This window comes from Homo sapiens, chromosome 12 (assembly GCF_000001405.40).
Source record: "Homo sapiens chromosome 12, GRCh38.p14 Primary Assembly".
Classification (NCBI taxonomy): domain Eukaryota; kingdom Metazoa; phylum Chordata; class Mammalia; order Primates; family Hominidae; genus Homo; species Homo sapiens.
The window spans coordinates 24,395,239-24,414,238 of NC_000012.12; the positions used below are offsets into that span (position 1 = coordinate 24,395,239).

General features: G+C 38.4%; 1 protein-coding gene across 20 annotated transcripts in view; it reads right to left on the reverse strand.

Moving 5' to 3' along the window:
- Positions 1 to 19,000, reverse strand: part of SOX5 (SRY-box transcription factor 5) — a 1,033,147-nt gene that overhangs the window by 865,735 nt on the left and 148,412 nt on the right. For 15 of the 20 annotated variants that reach the window (XM_047429458.1, XM_017019891.2, XM_017019892.2 and 12 more), the window contains one exon: positions 12,247 to 12,328. The exons of the other annotated variants lie outside the window; for them this stretch is intronic. The gene's annotated coding sequence lies outside the window, so the exon portion shown is untranslated. The remainder of the gene's footprint in view (positions 1 to 12,246; positions 12,329 to 19,000) is intronic. 20 annotated transcript variants of the gene reach the window in all.

Genomic DNA, 19,000 nt, shown 5'->3' on the forward strand with positions numbered 1-19,000 from the left:
CAGATCTATTAAAAAAAAAAAGAGCTACCATTTTGTCAGTAGCCCTAAGTCTTTGGAACCACAAATCAGTGTCTGGTGTAAGCCTTCTAGAAGGCTCAACCAGGGGAAATTTTGAGAGAAGAGTTATTTTAGAAATGAGAGCATGAGTGGTGATTTGACAGAAATAATTGGCCAAAAAAATATATTCTTTCCCAATTGCTCTCTAATCTGTTGTGTGGCTGCAAGTATATGAGCAAGTTCCCTGTGCCTTACTTTCCTTACCTATGAAGCTGGTGGAAAACCCACTGAATTCTATTAACTGGCAATAATTCTAATAGGACTAAGTTTAACATGTCTACATTTTGTGATCCTCAAAATTCCCAGTGGGTGTAAACAAAATGAAAATATGCAATATAACATTCTCCTCATGGAAAGAAACCATCAATAAAGCATAGCCAGGGTTGAGATCTGCCATAATATCTATGCTAGGGTGCTAGAAATAAATAACTTACATATGTTATTTCATGGACCCTGACAGGCTGGTGCCTTGTCACACCCCTGCTTCTAATCTTCTAGAAGTCTCTAGCTGAAAACTACTTTCAAACCAGGATTTCCTGGGTACTGCTAGCAGTGACATCAAAGCCATCAGTTCAAGGGTCACATCTTCTCTCCCACTCCCCTGACATCTCTGTCTGGCCTGCCCTCACAGAATGGAATGCCCTCTTTATCTCTAAGAAGTGCATGCTGCTATGAGAAGGAGGCTGGCAAGGGAGGTTATTGGTTGCAATTGTTTAAGAGAGTCTAATAATTGCAGCTAGGGATCCATCCTCTCGTGTCACATAAGTTGGAAAATGGGTCAGACATAATGCATTTGGTTAAGTGTCTAAACTGAAAAGGTACTATTTTATTTTAAATGGCATAGTCTTTACAAAGGCTAAGGTTACTGGTGCAATGCTCTCTCATTTTAAAACGTATCAGGGACATGCCCTCTGAGGGTAAGGCTTTCATTTGCTGATGTTAATTCTCAGCTGCCTGCTCCTCGTCCTTCATTGTACCCTGTGTCTTAGCTGGGCACGCTCCTGATTCCCTGCTATATCCAGACGGTCCATGTAAATAGTGTTTATGTTAAGGAAGTCATGTTCAGTGTGACTGGAGCACACAGAAACTGATGTTGTTGTCACTTTAGATTAAGCTCTTATTTTAGTAAAGGAGGCAATTGGAGCAGGCAGCTGAGTGGCCGAATGAAATATTCAGCTCATTTCATTTAGAGCTGCCCGGTTCCCATTGTTCATGCTGGCACGGCTGGTTAACCCCGTTGGTGCCGCATGGCAACAGCTCGCGCTAGCTCCTGCCAGCTCCTGCCTCCACTCACAGGCTTCCTCCAGCTGACACTTTTTAAGTCGTCCATTGACACACATAGAGTTAACCCAGTGAATCTTGTAGCACAAGTTAAACCCCTGGATGTGTCTTTGCAATCTCCTATTTTTGCACCCAAAATGGATGTGTTAAAAAAGCGTTAACTATGTGTGTAGAGTAGGCCTAAATCTCCAGGTACAGCTAGAAGATTGGTGAGCACCAAGATGCTTACAACAGAGTGTTTTTGTGGTGACTGCAAAAATGCAAAATGTGTCTGCCAGAGGGAGATGTTTGGCTTAATTCCTTGAAATATTTTAAGTACTGCTCTATAACAAGGAGTTGGTTAAAACACAAGTTGAGGGCCATGATCCCATAACAAACATGCTGAAGAATACTAATTACATTCATTTATGTTTGAAACTTACTATTTGTAAAGACTTACATATAGAGAGTTGTGTTAGTACTTTGCCACCTTCCTGGAAGTACCATCGCATCCTGCTCACTTTTGAGAATTTGAGGTGCGTGTTTAGAAACCCTCCAATCATTCTAACATGATCATCTAGTAATATCAGAAAAAGTCTTCTGACTTCCAAGGCTTGCTTTCATTCTTTTTCTTTTTTCCTTTCTTCCTCCCTTTTTTTTTCTTTTTTGACAAGTCAAACCAGAAAAGGTGATTGAGGGAAATGAAAAAGTAAATACTATTTCCATATATCAAATCCCTGGTTAAATGAAAGACTCGTGACAGTTTTTCGACCATCAGAAAATGCTTTACAGCATAAGATCTTATCGCCTCAAGATCCTGAGAAAGTAGAAATTCTTCTTTACAATTTACAGATAGTATTTAATGTACATATAAATTACCAGTCATCACTGGACAATAATAACTATTTGTTATTATGAAGATGCACTCAACTCCTAACATAATAATAAGTACATGCCAGGCTAAAAGTGACCCTTACCTTTATGGTGTCTAAATATTTAGTAAGTATTTATTCTGTGGATATATGTGTATTGTAGAGGGGCCAAAGTTTATACAGTTTTAGAAAGAGAAGACAAATTATAAATTTAACATGAAAATGAGTATTCATTTGCTATGAAAAAAAAAATCAACAAACTTTAAAATGTCAGGAAGGGTCCCAAACATCACAAATCCAGAAAAAAAATAGATTCATATTATCTCCCTGACCACAACTCTTTAATGCTTTTTCCCCTACACTTATGAGTTGCATATTCTTTGCATCTTCATAAATATTATTGTTATTATTATTATTTAATTTATTTATTTATTTATTTTGAGACAGAGTCTTGCTGTGTCACCCAGGCTGGAGTGCAGTGGCACGATCTCGGCTCACTGCAAGCTCCGACTCCCGGGTTCACGCCATTCTCCTGCCTCAACCTCCCAAGTAGCTGGGACTACAGGTGCCCGCCACCATGCCTGACTAATTTTTTTGTATTTTTAGTAGAGACGGGGTTTCACCATGTTAGCCAGGATGGTCTCTATCTCCTGACCTCACGATCCGCCCACCTCGGCCTCCCAAAGTGCTGGTATTACAGGTGTGAGCCACCACACCCGGCCAAATATTATTTTTTATAGAAAGAATAATCATTCATTCTTTCCTCTGGAATATTTCATCAAAATTTGTTTTTAGGCCAGATGCAGTGGCTCACGCCTGTAATCCCAACCCTTTGGAAGGCCAAGGCGAGAGTATCACCTGAGCTGAGAGTTTGAGACAAGCCTGAGCAACATACCAAAATCCTCATCTCTAGGAAAATTTAAAAAACAATTAACCAGGTGTGGTGTGTGCCTGTGGTCCCAGCTACTCGAGAGGCTGAGGTGGGAAGATCACTTGAGCCCAGGAGGCTGAGGCTACAGTGAGCCAGGTTTGCACCACTGCACTCCAGCCTGAAAGACAGAGTGAGAACCTGTCCCCCGTCTAGAAAAACTGCTTTTATTTATCACTGAGATTCAGAAAACATGCAACTACACACACACAGTGGTACTTGTGTTTCTATTACTGCTACAGGTTTGTGCCCTAAAAACAAAAGAATGTTGAGAAAAAGAAATCTATCAAAAAAGAAAAAAAGATGCATTAATAGTAGCATGAACTGCATTAGTCATTAAATTCCTGACAGGAGAGAACTTCTGTTTTGACTATGCATTGATAAACCCACATCCTCTGCTATTATTGCACATCTAATAACAGGAAGGGTTTTGCAGAGAGTAGCTTCTGTCTCCGTGTATTTCAAACCTAGTTTCACTCCCGCCACCCATGAGCATACATGAGATACCAGTGCTGTGGACACGTGCACTGGGTATTACCATGACCTCGGGCTCCACACCTGTGTCAGAATGCTCCAGGGAGTTGCCAAGGTGGACAATTATCAACAGCTTCACTATACATGGAAGTGTTTACAAACAACCAAAATAGAACCCACTTAATTTTAGACCACAGCAGCCCCAGTTTGATTCTCCCTTTTTTGGACCCCCACCAAAAACGGCCACGGTCTTTCCAATGCCACCCCAAAACATGACACTAAAGGAAGGGCAGTCAAAGTCGAAGCACTGGTCTTACATGATTGCAGCTAAAATAGCTTTCTTTTCAAATTTTACAAAAAAAAAACCAAACAAACAGAAAAACACGTGAGCATCTGAGCACACTGCCTACAGCGTCTCCCCATACCTGGGAAAGGACCCATAGGAGTGAAGGACCCTGAGGCTTAGTTTCTCCTCTGGTAAAACAACTGATTTCTTCTCTGGTTGAACAAACTTTAAAAAACCAATACATATCAGATATTTGTCAATAACTGTGATTATAAAGATATACTAAAGGAATTTTATTTCAAGACACAGGGAGTCCAGAAGATACTTAACAATAATTAATTTCATGAAAAATATAAAAGAAAGAGTATTTAGAGCAAATTCTGTTCTTGGAATTATAAAACCGTGAGTACAAATTTTCTAGAAGCACAAAGATCTTTCCATGTCTAAAGTATAATGAAAATGTGGAATTACACAAATGAATACATTGCCACATATTTCAGTAGCTAAAAAAACAATTGTTGAGAAGAACGCACATATAAGTCTGGTTATTTTGAATTGCCAGTAGCAGGAAGACTATGGAAGTATGCATTTGGAAGCTTTGCTTTCCAAAGAGCCATGGAAACATTAATAAATGCGGAAACAATTCCAAAATTTAATTTTGATGAGATTTTCTCTTGTGCTCCCAGCAACATACAAATTGTAATCTAATAACATATTATCTCTAAAATATATGTAAAACATATTTGTTGAACATATAGGTATAGTACATTTCTCCATTCAACATAATACCAAATCAAAATATCCTATGTACTGGTAGCGTAAGGAAAATTTGCTCTATTATCTACAATAAGGTTTTCATATTAAGCTCATTCTACTTTAATTATCTTTGATTATGCCTTAGAAATATACCCATTAAAAGATAAAACATAAACTTTCAATCTGACCATTAGCATTAGGAAATCCAGTCCATAATTCAGCATATTCATGAAAGTAGCTAAAGTAACTCAAGTTTTAATAGACTTCTCAAGCCATTCATTAAGACTTTAGAGGAAAAATTGGTCTTAAATTTAGAAGTCAAATTTCAGTTGAAACTTTCAAGATAGATGGCACAATCTCTGAAGTGGGTGAAATAACTAAAATGCTAATTAGTTTTTAAATTTTTTCATAACCTTCCATTTTGTTTCTTTTCTTCCTTCTTTTCATTCTTGACACCCAAGTAACTGAGTGGCCTTGCCACAAGAAGCATTAGCAAATGAAATGATTTATAATAAATTATTTCAAGACAACAAGTTTGTGAGGAGGGCGGGGGAAGAATTTCGACTTTTAGGAAAGTTGCTGAGCAACAGCAATGTTAAAGCAAAAGCACAAAGCCTGAAAAGTTAGCAGAAAAAGAAATTAATAGCCAGTACCAAGTCACAGTTGACTCAAAGTCAGCAACAGGGAACATTCAAAATTATTCCAATGCATGCATTAACAGATGAAATTTAGACCTACTAAGTCTGGTTTCTTGTTTCTCTTCCCGAGTCTCCTTATCTAAATAGACAAAATGCTTCAGTGTAATAGTCCTGCTGCCTCAGGTAGACTCCCAAATTCCATTAGCAATGCAGAATAACCACCCCCTCCATGCTCCACACACACACTTTGCTGAGTTTGCAAACTGTAGATACCAAATAGGTTCAAATAAGGTATGTGACAGAACTGAAACACTATCAAACAAAATATGTTAACAAAGTCTAATAGGCAAATGACTTTATAAATGTCAGTGTCTAAAATAAGTGTTGGCACAGTATGGCCTGTGGTCCAAATCTGGCTCACTCCTTTGAAATAGAAATGGAGATTTTAACAGATGACCACTTACAATCAATTTGGTGACAGAGACATTAACTTTGAACTCCCAATTAAGAAAAATGTCCTCTCTCCAAAACCTGACTCATAGTGTAAAAAATGCACTTTGTTGGCCAGGCACGGCGGCTCATGCTTGTAATCCCAGCACTTTGGGAGGCTGAGGCGGGCAGATCATGAGGTCAGGAGTTCAAGACCAACCTGGCCAACAAGGTGAAACCCTATCTCTAATATGAATACAAAAATTAGCCGGTCCTGGTGGCGTGTGCCTGTAGTCCCAGCTACTCAGGGGGCTGAGGCAGGAGAATTGCTTCAACCTGGGAGGCAGAGGTTGCAGTGAGCCGAGATCGTGCCACTGCACTCCAGCCTGGGCGACAGAGCAAGACTCCATCTCAGGGGAAAAAAAAAAAAAAAGTTATTTTTTGTTATTACTATTATATTTTGAACTATGTCCATTAAAAATTTGTACTGGCCAGGTTTGGTGGCTCGCACCTGTAATCCCAGAGCTTTGGGAGGTCAAGGCAGGAGGATCACTCGAGGCCAGGAGTTTGAAATCAGCCTGGGCAACATAGCGAGACCTCGTCTCTACAAAACATTAAAAAATTAACCTTGCATGGTGGCATATGCCTGTAGTCTCTGCTACTGGGGAGACTGAGGCAAGAGGATGAATTCTGCCCAGGAGTTGGAAGATGCAGTGGCACAATTGAGCCACTTCGCTCCAGCCTGGATGACAGAGCCAGACCCTATCTTTAAAAAAAAAAAAAAAAAAAAAAAAAAAAATTGCAAAATATTTTTTTCACTTAAAGTACTTACATAATATCCTCAGTTTTGCCTCCTAGCCTACAAAGCCTAAAATATTTACTCTCTAGCCCTTTTCAAAAAAAGTTTGCCAACAGCTGGTCTAAATCTGATCTGCAAAACTGTTTTAGCCTCACCTATTTCTAGCTTTTATGATCTATGCATGTATGTATGTATTTAGAATGTATAACATAACTACTCACATAAAGGATTTACACCTACCTCCTAATGCTCCCTAAATCACTACCAGGAAAAGACTACATTAACTACCCCCTGAAAATAGATGCCTAGAGAGAGTTCACAATAATGGATGGTATTTATCTCACTTCAGAGTAAAATGAGGAGGTGCCATTTTTACCTAGTAATTTAGCTTGAAAAAATTAAAATTATAATGCCCAATGTTAGTGGGAGTATGGACAAGAAAATCCATTTCTACATTAACTGCAGCAGTGTTAAATAGCACAATTTACCTGGAAAGCAATTTGGTAATAGATAACAAAATCCATTAAAATATTTACACACTTTGACATAGTAAATCTACCTCTGTAAATCCAGAAATATGAAAACACACACATAAAGATGTTCCATAAAATGTTATTTACAATAGTGACCTGTCCCTACCACTTTTTTCCCCTATTAATGGTCTTAAGAGAAATATTGGTACAATCCTGTTCCTCACACCAACATAGCCATTAATTCCTCCGCCTGCCTCTTTTGTATCTTTTTCTTCTTCATCTCTGCAGCTACTCTCTTGTTTTAAGAACCTGTCATGTCTCTTCTGGATATCACCTTGGGACTGGATCTGCATTTAGGAGGTTCTAAAGCTTATACAATTTGGGGGCCCTTTTAAAGAGAAAGAATGCAAAATTGTGAATGCAAAATGTATGTGGGCACTTTGATGTCACCTAACATTAATGGAAACATAACAGAGGTGTAGCAGTATAAAAAAAGAAAGCCTGAGTTTTTAACTGGTTGAACTTAGAAATTTGTACTTTTGCAACATTTATAAAAACATATGGCTGCAGAAACACAATTTAGGGTCCCTACTAAAATACTGCTAGGAACCCATGCAAGCTTCGTTTATTTAAGCTTTATTTCAGCTTCTTGGTTTATCTGGCTCCTTATCAATCTCTTAGTTCCTAAAGCTTGTAACTTCTAATCCGTCTATCCAATCATAATGCTGAAGGTTAATTTTTCTAAAATGATATTCTAAACATACTCTTCCCCTACATGAAAATCTTTCTTGCCAATAGGATAACAGGCACAAATCTTCCCATGATATCACTCCCACCTACTCCAATCCCATTCTCTGTTATTCAAGACATGCTACATTATTTACAGTTCCTTGTAATATTATTTCCATCTTCTCATACCTGAGCAGATGTTCTTTCTTCCCTGGAACTGAAATTATTTTCTCCTCTTTTCTGGCTAAAGCATTTCTGAGCAACTTTCTATTTCAACTTACCTTGTGAAGCTTTCCCAGAGCTGACAATAAAGTTGATAGCAACCTCTTTGGCCACTCTCCCTAAGTATTGCACTTATTCCCTATTATAAAGACTCATTCACTGTGTGTTTCCCCTGATAAATCAAATCTCCTTAAGGACGGAAACCTTGTCTTAACTATCTTTATTCCCTAAGTGCTTGCACTGAGTAGGTGCTCAGTAAAGCTCGGTTGAATGAATAAACAAAAAAGGAGGAGAAGCAAATATACCAAAAAGCTAGTTTTGTTGCTTTCAGTTCTTACACTGTGAGCATTTTTTTACTCTTATTTTAAAATATTAGTGTGCAGCTGTATTTGTTTTACAATGCGAAATTCAATTTACAATAAAATATTTCTTTGAGCCTGACTCTAATTTTCATTAGCTCTCCTACCCAATTCTCTTAAAACCCTGCACACCTGTGCCAAGCTTATTTACATGGCCAACAGTCTACTTTACTTAAAATCACGGTTAGATCCCTGTACACAATTAGCTAAATAAATATCATTAGTGCAGCTTCATTAAAGTGTATTTTTCTTAAGCATTTCTCAATACGCATATTTCTCAGTAAGTAAGCACCTATTAGAATTTTGGCAAGAAAAATCTTATCATGGACTTGTTTCTGTAGGTATATACTTCAGGTCTTAACTGAAAGGAATAATAAAAGAATTTTGCCATCTGGAATAAAATAGTGACAAATACTACAAGACTCAAATTATGTTCATATACATAAAGCCATGTTTCCAAATCACTATAATAATTCCTATCTCCCACCTAGGAGGCACTAAAGAATTGTTTTTAAAAGGAAAATATCAAAACAATCCGATAATTCTCCTAAATATAATCCCCATTGAAGCTGAACATATTTTATCCTTTTTTAGCTAAGCTATCATTATCATTATCCAGTAAATGCCTGCAGGAACTTTATAGCTAACAGTTTACCCTTTTCCTTTTGCATGATTTAAATATGTTGTTTTATTACACATTGTTTAAATATGCCCTACGTGAAGCCGACCACACACACACACAGCATATTTAGATAGGAATATAGGTCAAAAGCACCAAAAAAATGCAAACCACAAGTCATATGAATAACACCACCAAACTCAAGTTGACACTATTTTAGTAGCTTCAGGAACATTTGAACCCTGGCATAATTTATACCTTGAATTCAGGCAGAAATTCATTTTCTAGCCAATGGTATGATGGTGATAGATTGGACCTCTCTACAGACAGGTGCCATTTCCCCTTTGTGCAAGGCTTGCTGTTCTGAGTTCATGTGATGGCACCACCTGATGTCTAAGAGCTTTTTCCTAGATGGGTCCATACTTCTGCTAGCCTGGTTTGATTGTTTAAAAGAAAGCCAGCATTCTTCTTGTTGCATAATCCTGCGTGTAAGAGCTGAGATGAAGTGTAGGATAGCAGAAAGAATGCGAGCTACAGAGTCACACAGTCATGGAGAGGAATTGCATGGGAACTTCAAGGTCTGTGCGACTTTGAAGTAATTGCGCTCCTCTGAACCCTGGTGTTATGGGTTGCATTGCCCCTTCCCCCCAAATTCATATGTTGAAGCCCTAACCCCAGGATCTCAGAATGTGACCTTATTTGGAAATATGGTCTTTGTGGATGTAATTAGTTAAGATGAGGTCATTCTTGTGGGCCTTAATCCAGTATAACTGGTGTCCTTATAAAAAGGGGAAATTTGGACATAGAGACAAATATGCATAGGGGAAAAATAATATAAAGAGCTACAGAAAGAAGACAGCCATCTACAAGCCAAAAAAGAAGGGCCCAGAACAGATTCTTCGCCTGCAGCCGTCAGAAGGAAACTACCCTTCTGTCAGCCTTGATTTCTGACTTCTATCCTCTGGAACTGTGGGACGATCAATTTCTGTTGTTTGTCACCCTGTTTGTGGTACTTTACTATGGAAGCTCTAGCAAACTAACACAACTGTTTTCCTCAAATGTCAAATCCTTAATATAAATTATGCGGTGCCATTTTTAGGATTAAAAATCACATGGTAAGTTCCAGAAAGAAGGCAGGCAATATATTTTATCATGGGGGGGTATACTATTTGAAGTATTTTATCTCATTTCCTTGAATCTTGCTTCTTTCTCCAGTCAGCCAAGTAGCTATACTCTTCACTCATGGCGTTAGAAAACTGTTGGCAAGGAAGGGAAAACAGGGCACTGAGGGGGTGTCAGTTAATAAATTGTGAGGTTCGAAAGCCTAATGCCCCCTAGGAAACTGGAATGATTCCCGCCCATAGAAAACAGGATCAGAAGAGACCTTCCTACATATAAAATAAGCTAAGGGCAGATGTAAACCCCTTTGAGTGCAAAATAAGGTAGTTAAGGCATGTGTGTACATCAGTGGATCCAGGAGCAAGATAGAAGTGGCTAGTTTCATCCTATTCCCCTGCCACCCTGATCCCAGGCCCCACTGCCTCGACTCTCCCTAATGGGAGCAGAATGACAGATCGGGAGATTCAACTGAGGTACCTTCCTGAAACAAGTATGAAATTTCAATGTAAATGACCAGGTCAAAATGCAGATTTTAAAAGAAATTGAGAACTATGGATGGCTCTAAAAGTTATAAAGGATCAACAGAAGGGAGAGGAGGGGAAGAGGCTTTAAGAGGCTATTGGATAGAGCTGCTGCTGATGCCAAGTCCCATCTTTCCCTGAGACAGAGACAGAAAGGGCTACCTTTTCCATAGGTCTTTAGAGAGGCTTCAGAGGAAACCTTTAGTGGGCCTGTATGTACCCCCTGGAGTTTGAGAGACCCCATGGACTGCAGCCTGGCTCCCATCCTGAAAATCCAGAGGACAAGAGAGCTGGGCTAGGAGCAGCTCTGCAATCTGAGAAGTGCCCGCAGCCTCTCCCGCCCATGAAGGTTCATAAGAGGCATGTTTTCCTAGAGCAGGTGTGGGCCAGGTGTGAGAGAGCCAGCCTGAAGCCCAAGAGGATCAACGGCGGTATTCACAAGACACCAAATCAGAGGCCAGAGGGAACAGACTATCTGAAACCAGGTGCTGAGTGGGGAGTAGGGCGCTGAAGGAGAAGCCCTGCCCAAGTCAGAAGAATTGAAGCTGCGTGGGTCCATCGGAGGGGCCATGAAAGTCTCCCAAAAGTGATCAACTGAGAGTCAGTGTTAAGCAGCTTCCTGGCCCAGAAAACACAAAGCCAGCTTAATATAACATTCGTTCAAGTGAGAAAAATCCCTGAGCTACTTTTCCCCTCTTCTTTCCTGTGCCCCAACCCCTGAGAGTTCAGCAACAGCAACTAGGAAGTGGGATAGGAGGTGACAGGTGAAGAGAGGAAAAAATGACAGACCTTTTCCCTCTGCAGTAGTCCAACTCAAAACTGGGCCCCAGATGGGGGAGGGTAGATCTTCTGATATTAAATTAACTTTGAAGCTATGATTATGATTTGATATTGGACATAAACATTTCTGAATGTAGATTATTTCTGTAACTTAAAATGTCCAGAGGACTTTTTTTTAAAATCTAAGAATGAACTTGTGAAGTATGGAGTCTGCCTGAGACCTAAATTTCACCCGAAGCAAGGGAATACCTGCCACCCTTCTCCAATGCATTTCAAAGAAACAGAAGGAGATGAAAAATAAATTGTGTTTTGATTGATTTCCTAAGTTGTGCTTGTTCAAAATACGATTAAAGAAACCCCAAATATGTTGGGGGTAGACAGGGGTGATGGGCAAAAGAGTTTCTTTCTTGGGTATAGTCTGAACTTCAGAAACAGCCTGGTGGTACATCCAGGACTTAAGCGGCCTTGCAAAGGATCTCGTGCCATAGCATAACACAGGAGCTGCTGAACAAGAGTGGCAATGCAAAAAACAAAAAAAAAGGGTGGGGGAGCTTTTTAATCCCAAGAGTTTCCTCTGGGCCTGCAGCAGTGATAGCATGCCCCTATGTGCCCAAGAAGTATCTAGAAGAAACTAAGAGAAGGAGAACAGAAGATCCTCGAAGATAGATCGAGGTGTGCCCCGGCAGCAGTCCACAAGTACTGACAAGAGATGGTAAGACAGACATGACTAATGGAGAGATGACAGCCAAAGAACTGGGATCCACCCCCTCGAGAACTTGGCATCTCATAGCCTTATCCAGAACTTCAGTGCAACCTCAGGCTGCTGATATGGTTAAGCAGAGGGTCCGAACAGCATTTAATTTCAGGTTAACTATGGAAGAATAAAGAAAGTTACATTTCTTGCACCCACAGACAAGAGACCCACCTGCCACATTTGGGGAGGCTTGTCCAAAACTTCTGAGGATCCTCCTGAAGTATGGCTCTACACCTTGGACCGTTTAAAAAGCCTAGAAAAGAATTAGAGCCCAGTCATTTATAGGCAGATTCATAATGTACGGAGATGGGGTTGACTGTCTGAAGTCTTAGCTATTTTAAGAAATATCACTGGATTGCAATAAGCTGAGTGTGACAGAATACAGTATATATACTACTATAGAAGCCTTAAAATCTTAAAATTCCAACCAGACAGATACGGAGTGATCAGCAGAAGGAATGGAAATAGAGTGAATTTGCCTGTTTCATTTACTTTTGAAATAAAATGCTCCAAATCCAGGAACAACGTATAGAAAAGAGGAAACGTAGTAGGGAATTTCGAGGTTTCTATCCAAGACTTGGAATTTTTTAAAGCGTCCAATCTGTTTCTGATGAGAGAAGAAAAATAAACCCAGGTTAGGGAATCACTCATGACAGGAATGGTACTGTAGACAGACTGTTCAAAGAAAAACCTTTCTGATAAGGTGATGTTTGAGCAGAGATCTCGATGAAGTGAATGAGCAGGCCAGAGAAAGGAATGTTCCAGACGAGGAAATGGCAAGTACAAAGGCCTTGTGGTGAGAGCTTGCTAAGCGTGTCCAGGAACAGCAAAAAAGGCTCTGCGACTGCCATATGATTATCTGAGGGCAGAAAGAGGGGACATGAAGCTTTCCCATGGAAAGCGCCAAAAGACGCTTTCAGATTTTAATCTAGAACACTTTACAGAAAATGTGATGCTTTCAGATTTTAATCTAGAAGACTTTACAGAAAATGTTGTGTTTAATTAAACATTTTAATTTAAAATAATTGTAGATCCACATGCAGTTACAAAAAAACACAGAGAGATCCTGGGCAGCCTTTACCCAGTTTCCCTCATCGGTAACAGCTTGCAGAACTATACTACATTGTCACAACCACGATACTGACATTGACAGAGTCAAGATACAGAACATTTCCAACACCACAAAAATCCCTCAGGTTGCCTTTTTATAGCCACACTTGTTTCCGCTCCACCCCACCCTCCTTAACCCCTGGAAACCACTGATCTATTTTCAGTTTCTATAATTTCTTCACTTCAAAAGTATTATATAAATGAAATCATACACTCAACAGAACTTTCTAAAGATTCGTCTAGGTTCACGTATGTATCAATAGTTTATTTTTGTTGCTGAATAGTGTTCTATGGTATGGATTGTTTAATCATTTATTGAAGGATGCTGAGTTGTTTCAAGTTTGAGATTAATTCACACCGATTAATAATTTGGAATGGCAATTATTAAAAAGTCAGGAAACAACAGATGCTGGTGAGGCTGTTGAGAAATAGGAACGCTTTTACACTGCTGGTGGGAATGTAAATTAATTCAACCATTGTGGAAGACAGCATGGTGATTCCTCGAGAATCTAGAACCGGAAATATCATTTGACCCAGCAATCCCATTACTGGGTATATACCCCCAAAATATAAATCATTCCACTATAAAGACACATGCACACAAATGTTTGTTGCAGCACTATTTACAATAGCAAAGACAGGGAACCAACCCAAATGCCCATCAATGATAGACTGGATAAAGAAAATATGGTACATATACATCATGGAATACTATGCAGCCATAAAAAGAAATGAGATAATGTCCTTTGCAGGGGCATGGATGAAGCTGAAAGCCATCATCCTTAGCAAACTAACACAGGAACAGAAAACCAAACACCACCCACCACATGTTCTCACTCATAAGTGGGAGTTGAACATTGAGAACACATGGACACAGAGAGGGGAACAATATACACCACCAGAGCCTGCTGTGGGGTGGGGAGTGAGGGGAGGGAATTTAGAGGACAGGTCAATAGGTGTAGCAAACCACCACGGCACACATATACCTATGTAACAAACCTGCACTTTCTGCACATGTATCCCTTTTTTTTTAGAAAAAATAATTTTTTTTAAAGTTTGAGATTATTATGAATAAAGTCATAAACATTTATATACAGGTTTTTGTGTGAAAATGTTGTCTTTTCTCTGAGATAAATGTCCAGGAGTGCATTGCTAGGTTATATACGGCAGATGAATGTTGTTTTTTCCTCCCCCAAATCTACCTGTTTTGCAGAATTTTACATCCCCACCAACAATGTCTGAATGAGCTAGTTTCTGTACATCCTTGTCAGCATTTGATATTGTCACTATCTTTTATTTTAGCCTTTCTGCACTTGTCATTGATTAATGATGTTGAACATCTTTTTACGTGCTTAGCTGCTATCTGTATATCTTCTCCCAAGAAATGTTTCTTCAGGTATTTAGCCCATTTTCTAATTGGATTTCTCTTTTTTACTATAGAGTTTTCAGAGTTTATATTCTTGACACTAGTACTTTGTCAGATATATGGTTTGCAAACACTTTTATTCCAATCTGTAGCTTGGTTTTTCGTCTGTAGCTTGGCTTTTCGTCCTTTCAATAGGATCTTTCACATAGCAACTTTTTTTTTTTTTTAAACAGGGTCTCATTCTGTTGCCCAGGTTGGAATGCAGTTGTGCAATCAAGGCTCACTGCAGCCTCGACCTCCTAGACTCAGGTGATCCTCCCACCTCAGCCTCCCACATAGCTGGGACTACAGGCACATGCCACCATGTCTGGCTAATTTTTGTATTTTTTGTAGAGGAGGAGTTTTGCCATGTTGACCAGGCTGGTCTCCAACTCCTGAGTTCAATTGATCCGCTTGCCTCGGCCTCCCAAAGTTCTGGGATTGCAGGAGTGTGCCACAGTACCTGGCCTCAAATAGCAAAATTGTTCATTTTAATGAAGTTCAGTTTATCAACTTTTCCTCCAGCTTTTGGTATAAAATCTAAAAATGCTTTGTCCAGACCTAGTCCCTGAAGATTCTTTTTACCCCTAGAAGTAGTATAGTTTTGAGTTTTACATTTAAGTCTGTGGTCTATTTTGAGTTACTTTTTGCATAAGTTATAAGACGTAGGTCAAGGGTTTTTTTGTTTGTTTTCCCTATGAATGTCCAAATCACTCCAAGAATGAACTGTTGAAAAGGCTGTTTTTTTCTGTTGAATTGCTTTTGCACTTTTGTCAAAAATTGGTCTAATATGTTGTGAGTCAATTTCTGGCTTCTCTGTTTTTTTCCTCCATTGATATAAGTGTCTATTCCTCTGCAAATATCACAGAGTGTTGATCACTACAGTTACATAATAAATTCTGGAACTGGGTAGATTATTCCCACTTTATTCTTCTATTTCAAAGTTCTTTTAGCTATTCTAATTCCTTTGCTTTTCAGCTGAAATTTCAATATAAATTTTTCTTCTCTGTATCTACAAAAAAGCCTTGTTGAGATTTTGATAGTAATTGTGTTAAGCCTGTGTGTCAGTTTGAGGAGAACTGCCATCTTTGCCATGTTGAGTGTTCCAGTCCATGAACATGATAGAGCTATTTATTTAGATCTTCATTCAGCATTGTGTGGCTTGCAGCATACACATCCTTTAATGTGTTTTGTTAGATTTATACCTAGGTATTTCATTTTCTGAGTGACTGTAAATAGTATTGCATTTTAAATTTTGATGTTCAGCCATTCATTGCTAGTATTAATATATACAAATATAACTGACTTTCGTATGTTTATATCTTGCTACCTTGCTAAACTCAAATTAGTTTTGGGAGTTAGTTTTTCTTTTCTTTTTTTTTTAATGTTCCATGAGATTTTCCACATAAACAATGATATCAAATGAAAAATAGGGACAGTTTTATTTTTGTCCTTTATAATCCATATGCTTTTAATTACAATTTTTTGCCTTTTTGCACTGGCCAGAAATTCTAGCACTGTGTTGAAGAAGGGTCATGAGAAGACATCCCTTGACCTTGTTCCTGATCTAAGAGGAAACACTCATGTCTTTCATCAAGTATAATGTTAGCTGTAGATGTTTTATAGATGTTCCATGTAAAGTTGAGAAAGTTTTCTATCTCAATTTTTCTGAGAGTTTTTCTCATAAATGTCTGTGGAATTTTGTCAGTGCACTTTTTGCAGGAATTTATAGCATTGTGTGATGTTTCTTCTTTAGGTTGTTAGCATACTGAATTACACTGATGGTTTTTCATATACTGAGCCAGCCTTGAATCCCTTGAAATAAACTAGCCTTTGGTCATGATGTATAATATGGTTCTTTTTACATATTGTTGAATTCTATTTGCTAATATTTTGTTAATATTTTTTGTACCTGTATTTATGGGGGATATTGGTCTCATTTCTTTTTTTGTACTTCGTTTTAGTATCTGGGTAATACTACTTTCATAAAATGAATGGCTTTCTGGGGGAGATTGTTTAGGGCTGGTTTCAATCCCTCTTTAAATGTTTGGTAGAATTATCTAGTAAAACCATCTGAAGATTACTTTTTTTGAAAGTTTGTTAAGTTAGGGATTAAATTCCTTTAACTGTTGTAAGGCTATTAAAATTATCTATTTAATTATGGGTGAGTTGCAGCAGTTCATGTTTTTTGAGGATTGGATCCATCTAAGTTGTGAATTTATGTGTGTAGAGTTGTTTGTAGTAGTCCCATATTATCCTTTTGGTGTCTGCAGAGTCTGCAGTGATACATCCGTATCGTATCGATACGATCGATAAATCGTATCGATTACTGATATCGATAACTTGTGTTTTTTCTGTTTTTACTCTGTTAGTCTTACTAGAAATTTGTCAATTTTACTGATCTTTTAAAGTAACCTTAATTTTTTCATGGATTATTTTTCTGTTTTCAATTTTATTGACTTTTGTTCTTAATATTATTTCCTTCCTTCTGCTTGCTTTGGATACTTACAGCTCTTCTTTAGGTTCTTGAACTATGAACTTAGATTACTGATTTGAGACTTTTCCTCTTTTCTAATGTACCTGTGTGGTGTGCCATAAACTTCCCTCTCAAAGTTGCTTTAGCTGTGATCCACAAATTTTTACGTGTTCTATTTTTATTGTCATTCAGTTCAATATATTTATGTCCCTTGAGACTTTCTTTGTTACCCATGGATTATTTACAATGTATATTTCTCAGTTTCCAAGGGTTCAGAAATTTTCCTGTTCTCTTTCTGTTATTGATTTCTAATTTGATTCCATGGTGGTCAAAAAATATATCCCATATGATTTTAGTTCTTTTAAATTTATTGAGATTTGTTTCCTGGCCCAGGATATGATCTCTCTTGGAATATGTTCCATGGACACATGAAAAGAATGTGTGTGCTGCTGCTGCTGGGTTTCCATTAGATTTTCTTTTTTTTTTTTTTTTTGAGAGGGAGTGCAGTGGCGCAATCTCGGCTCACTGCGAGCTCCGCCTCCTGGGTTCACACCATTCTCCTGGCCTCAGCATCCCGAGTAGCTGGGACTACAGGTGCCCACCACCACGCCCGGCTAATTTTTTGTATTTTTAGTAGAGACAGGGTTTCACCGTGTTAGCCAGGATGGTCTCGATCTCCTGACCTCGTGATCCACCCACCTCGGCCTCCCAAAGTGCTGGGATTACAGGCTTGAGCCATCGCGCCCGGCCTCAGTTAGATTTTCTTGGTTACCAACGTTGAGGTTCCTCTATATCTTTGCTGATTATCTGTCTAGTTTTTTTACAAAGTGATTAAACTTGGGTGTTCAAATCTTCGAATAACATTGTGAGTTTGTCTATTTCTCCTTTCAATTTAATCAGTTTTGCTTCATGTATTTTGCAGCTCAGTTATTTAGTACATACACATTTAGAATTGTCATGTCTTTTTGGTGGAGCAATGTCTTAATAATTATATAATATCCCTCTCTGTCACTAGTAACTTTCCTTGCTCAAAAGAATATTATATCTGATATTAACATAGCAACTCCCACTTTCTTTGTATTAATGTCTGCATGATACATATTTTTCCATTTTTTTCTTTCAATCTGCCCACATTGTTACACAAGGCCACAGGTGAATCAGTGACGGGGCTGGGTTAGCAACAACTTCTGATGACAATGAACTACATAATGAGAAATAAAAATATTAACTTTTTATCTAAAGTGTGTCAACAGTCTGCTTTGAAATGCAGTTATGCCTCATTTCCTTAAGGAAGGCAAAATAAGAACATGGCAGATGGAATATTATCACTCATCTACATTGGAATTTAACCAGGACACTAGGGTTTCAACTTACCCATTTGCCAAAAGTAGCAATAGATAACAAATAAATGGCCCAGTCATCGATATTATTGCAGACACTAGCCCACAAGAGGTTCCAAGCATGAAATTCTAAGAGTGAGCATGTTGTTTTTCATCGTGCGTCAGTGATTTTTTTTCCCATCTATCCAGGCTACCAGAGTGGCAAATTTGAAGGACACAGGCATATATTCCACATTATGCAGTTTTGCTCACTTTAAATGTAAAAACACTTGAGTGTGTGCAAAAGAGACTGTCCTCAATTCCCAAAATATTTTCTATATTCCCTGATTCATTTTATGAAGGATCAAACCTCTAGCTTGTAGCTCTGAGTGATAGACTTCCCCTTTTAGTCATGAAGTCTTCTATGATCCAAACTGAAGGAAAAAATTCTTGTTCATCTCCCATTTATATTCACAGTCAGATACTATAATTAAATAATAGAGTTTCATTTACTTGGGCTCAAATCCATTAATTTTTTTTCTTATTTTTACTCATCTCTTTTCTCTGAAATGTATCCCAGTATTATTATTATCCTTGAGCACACAAATACACAGA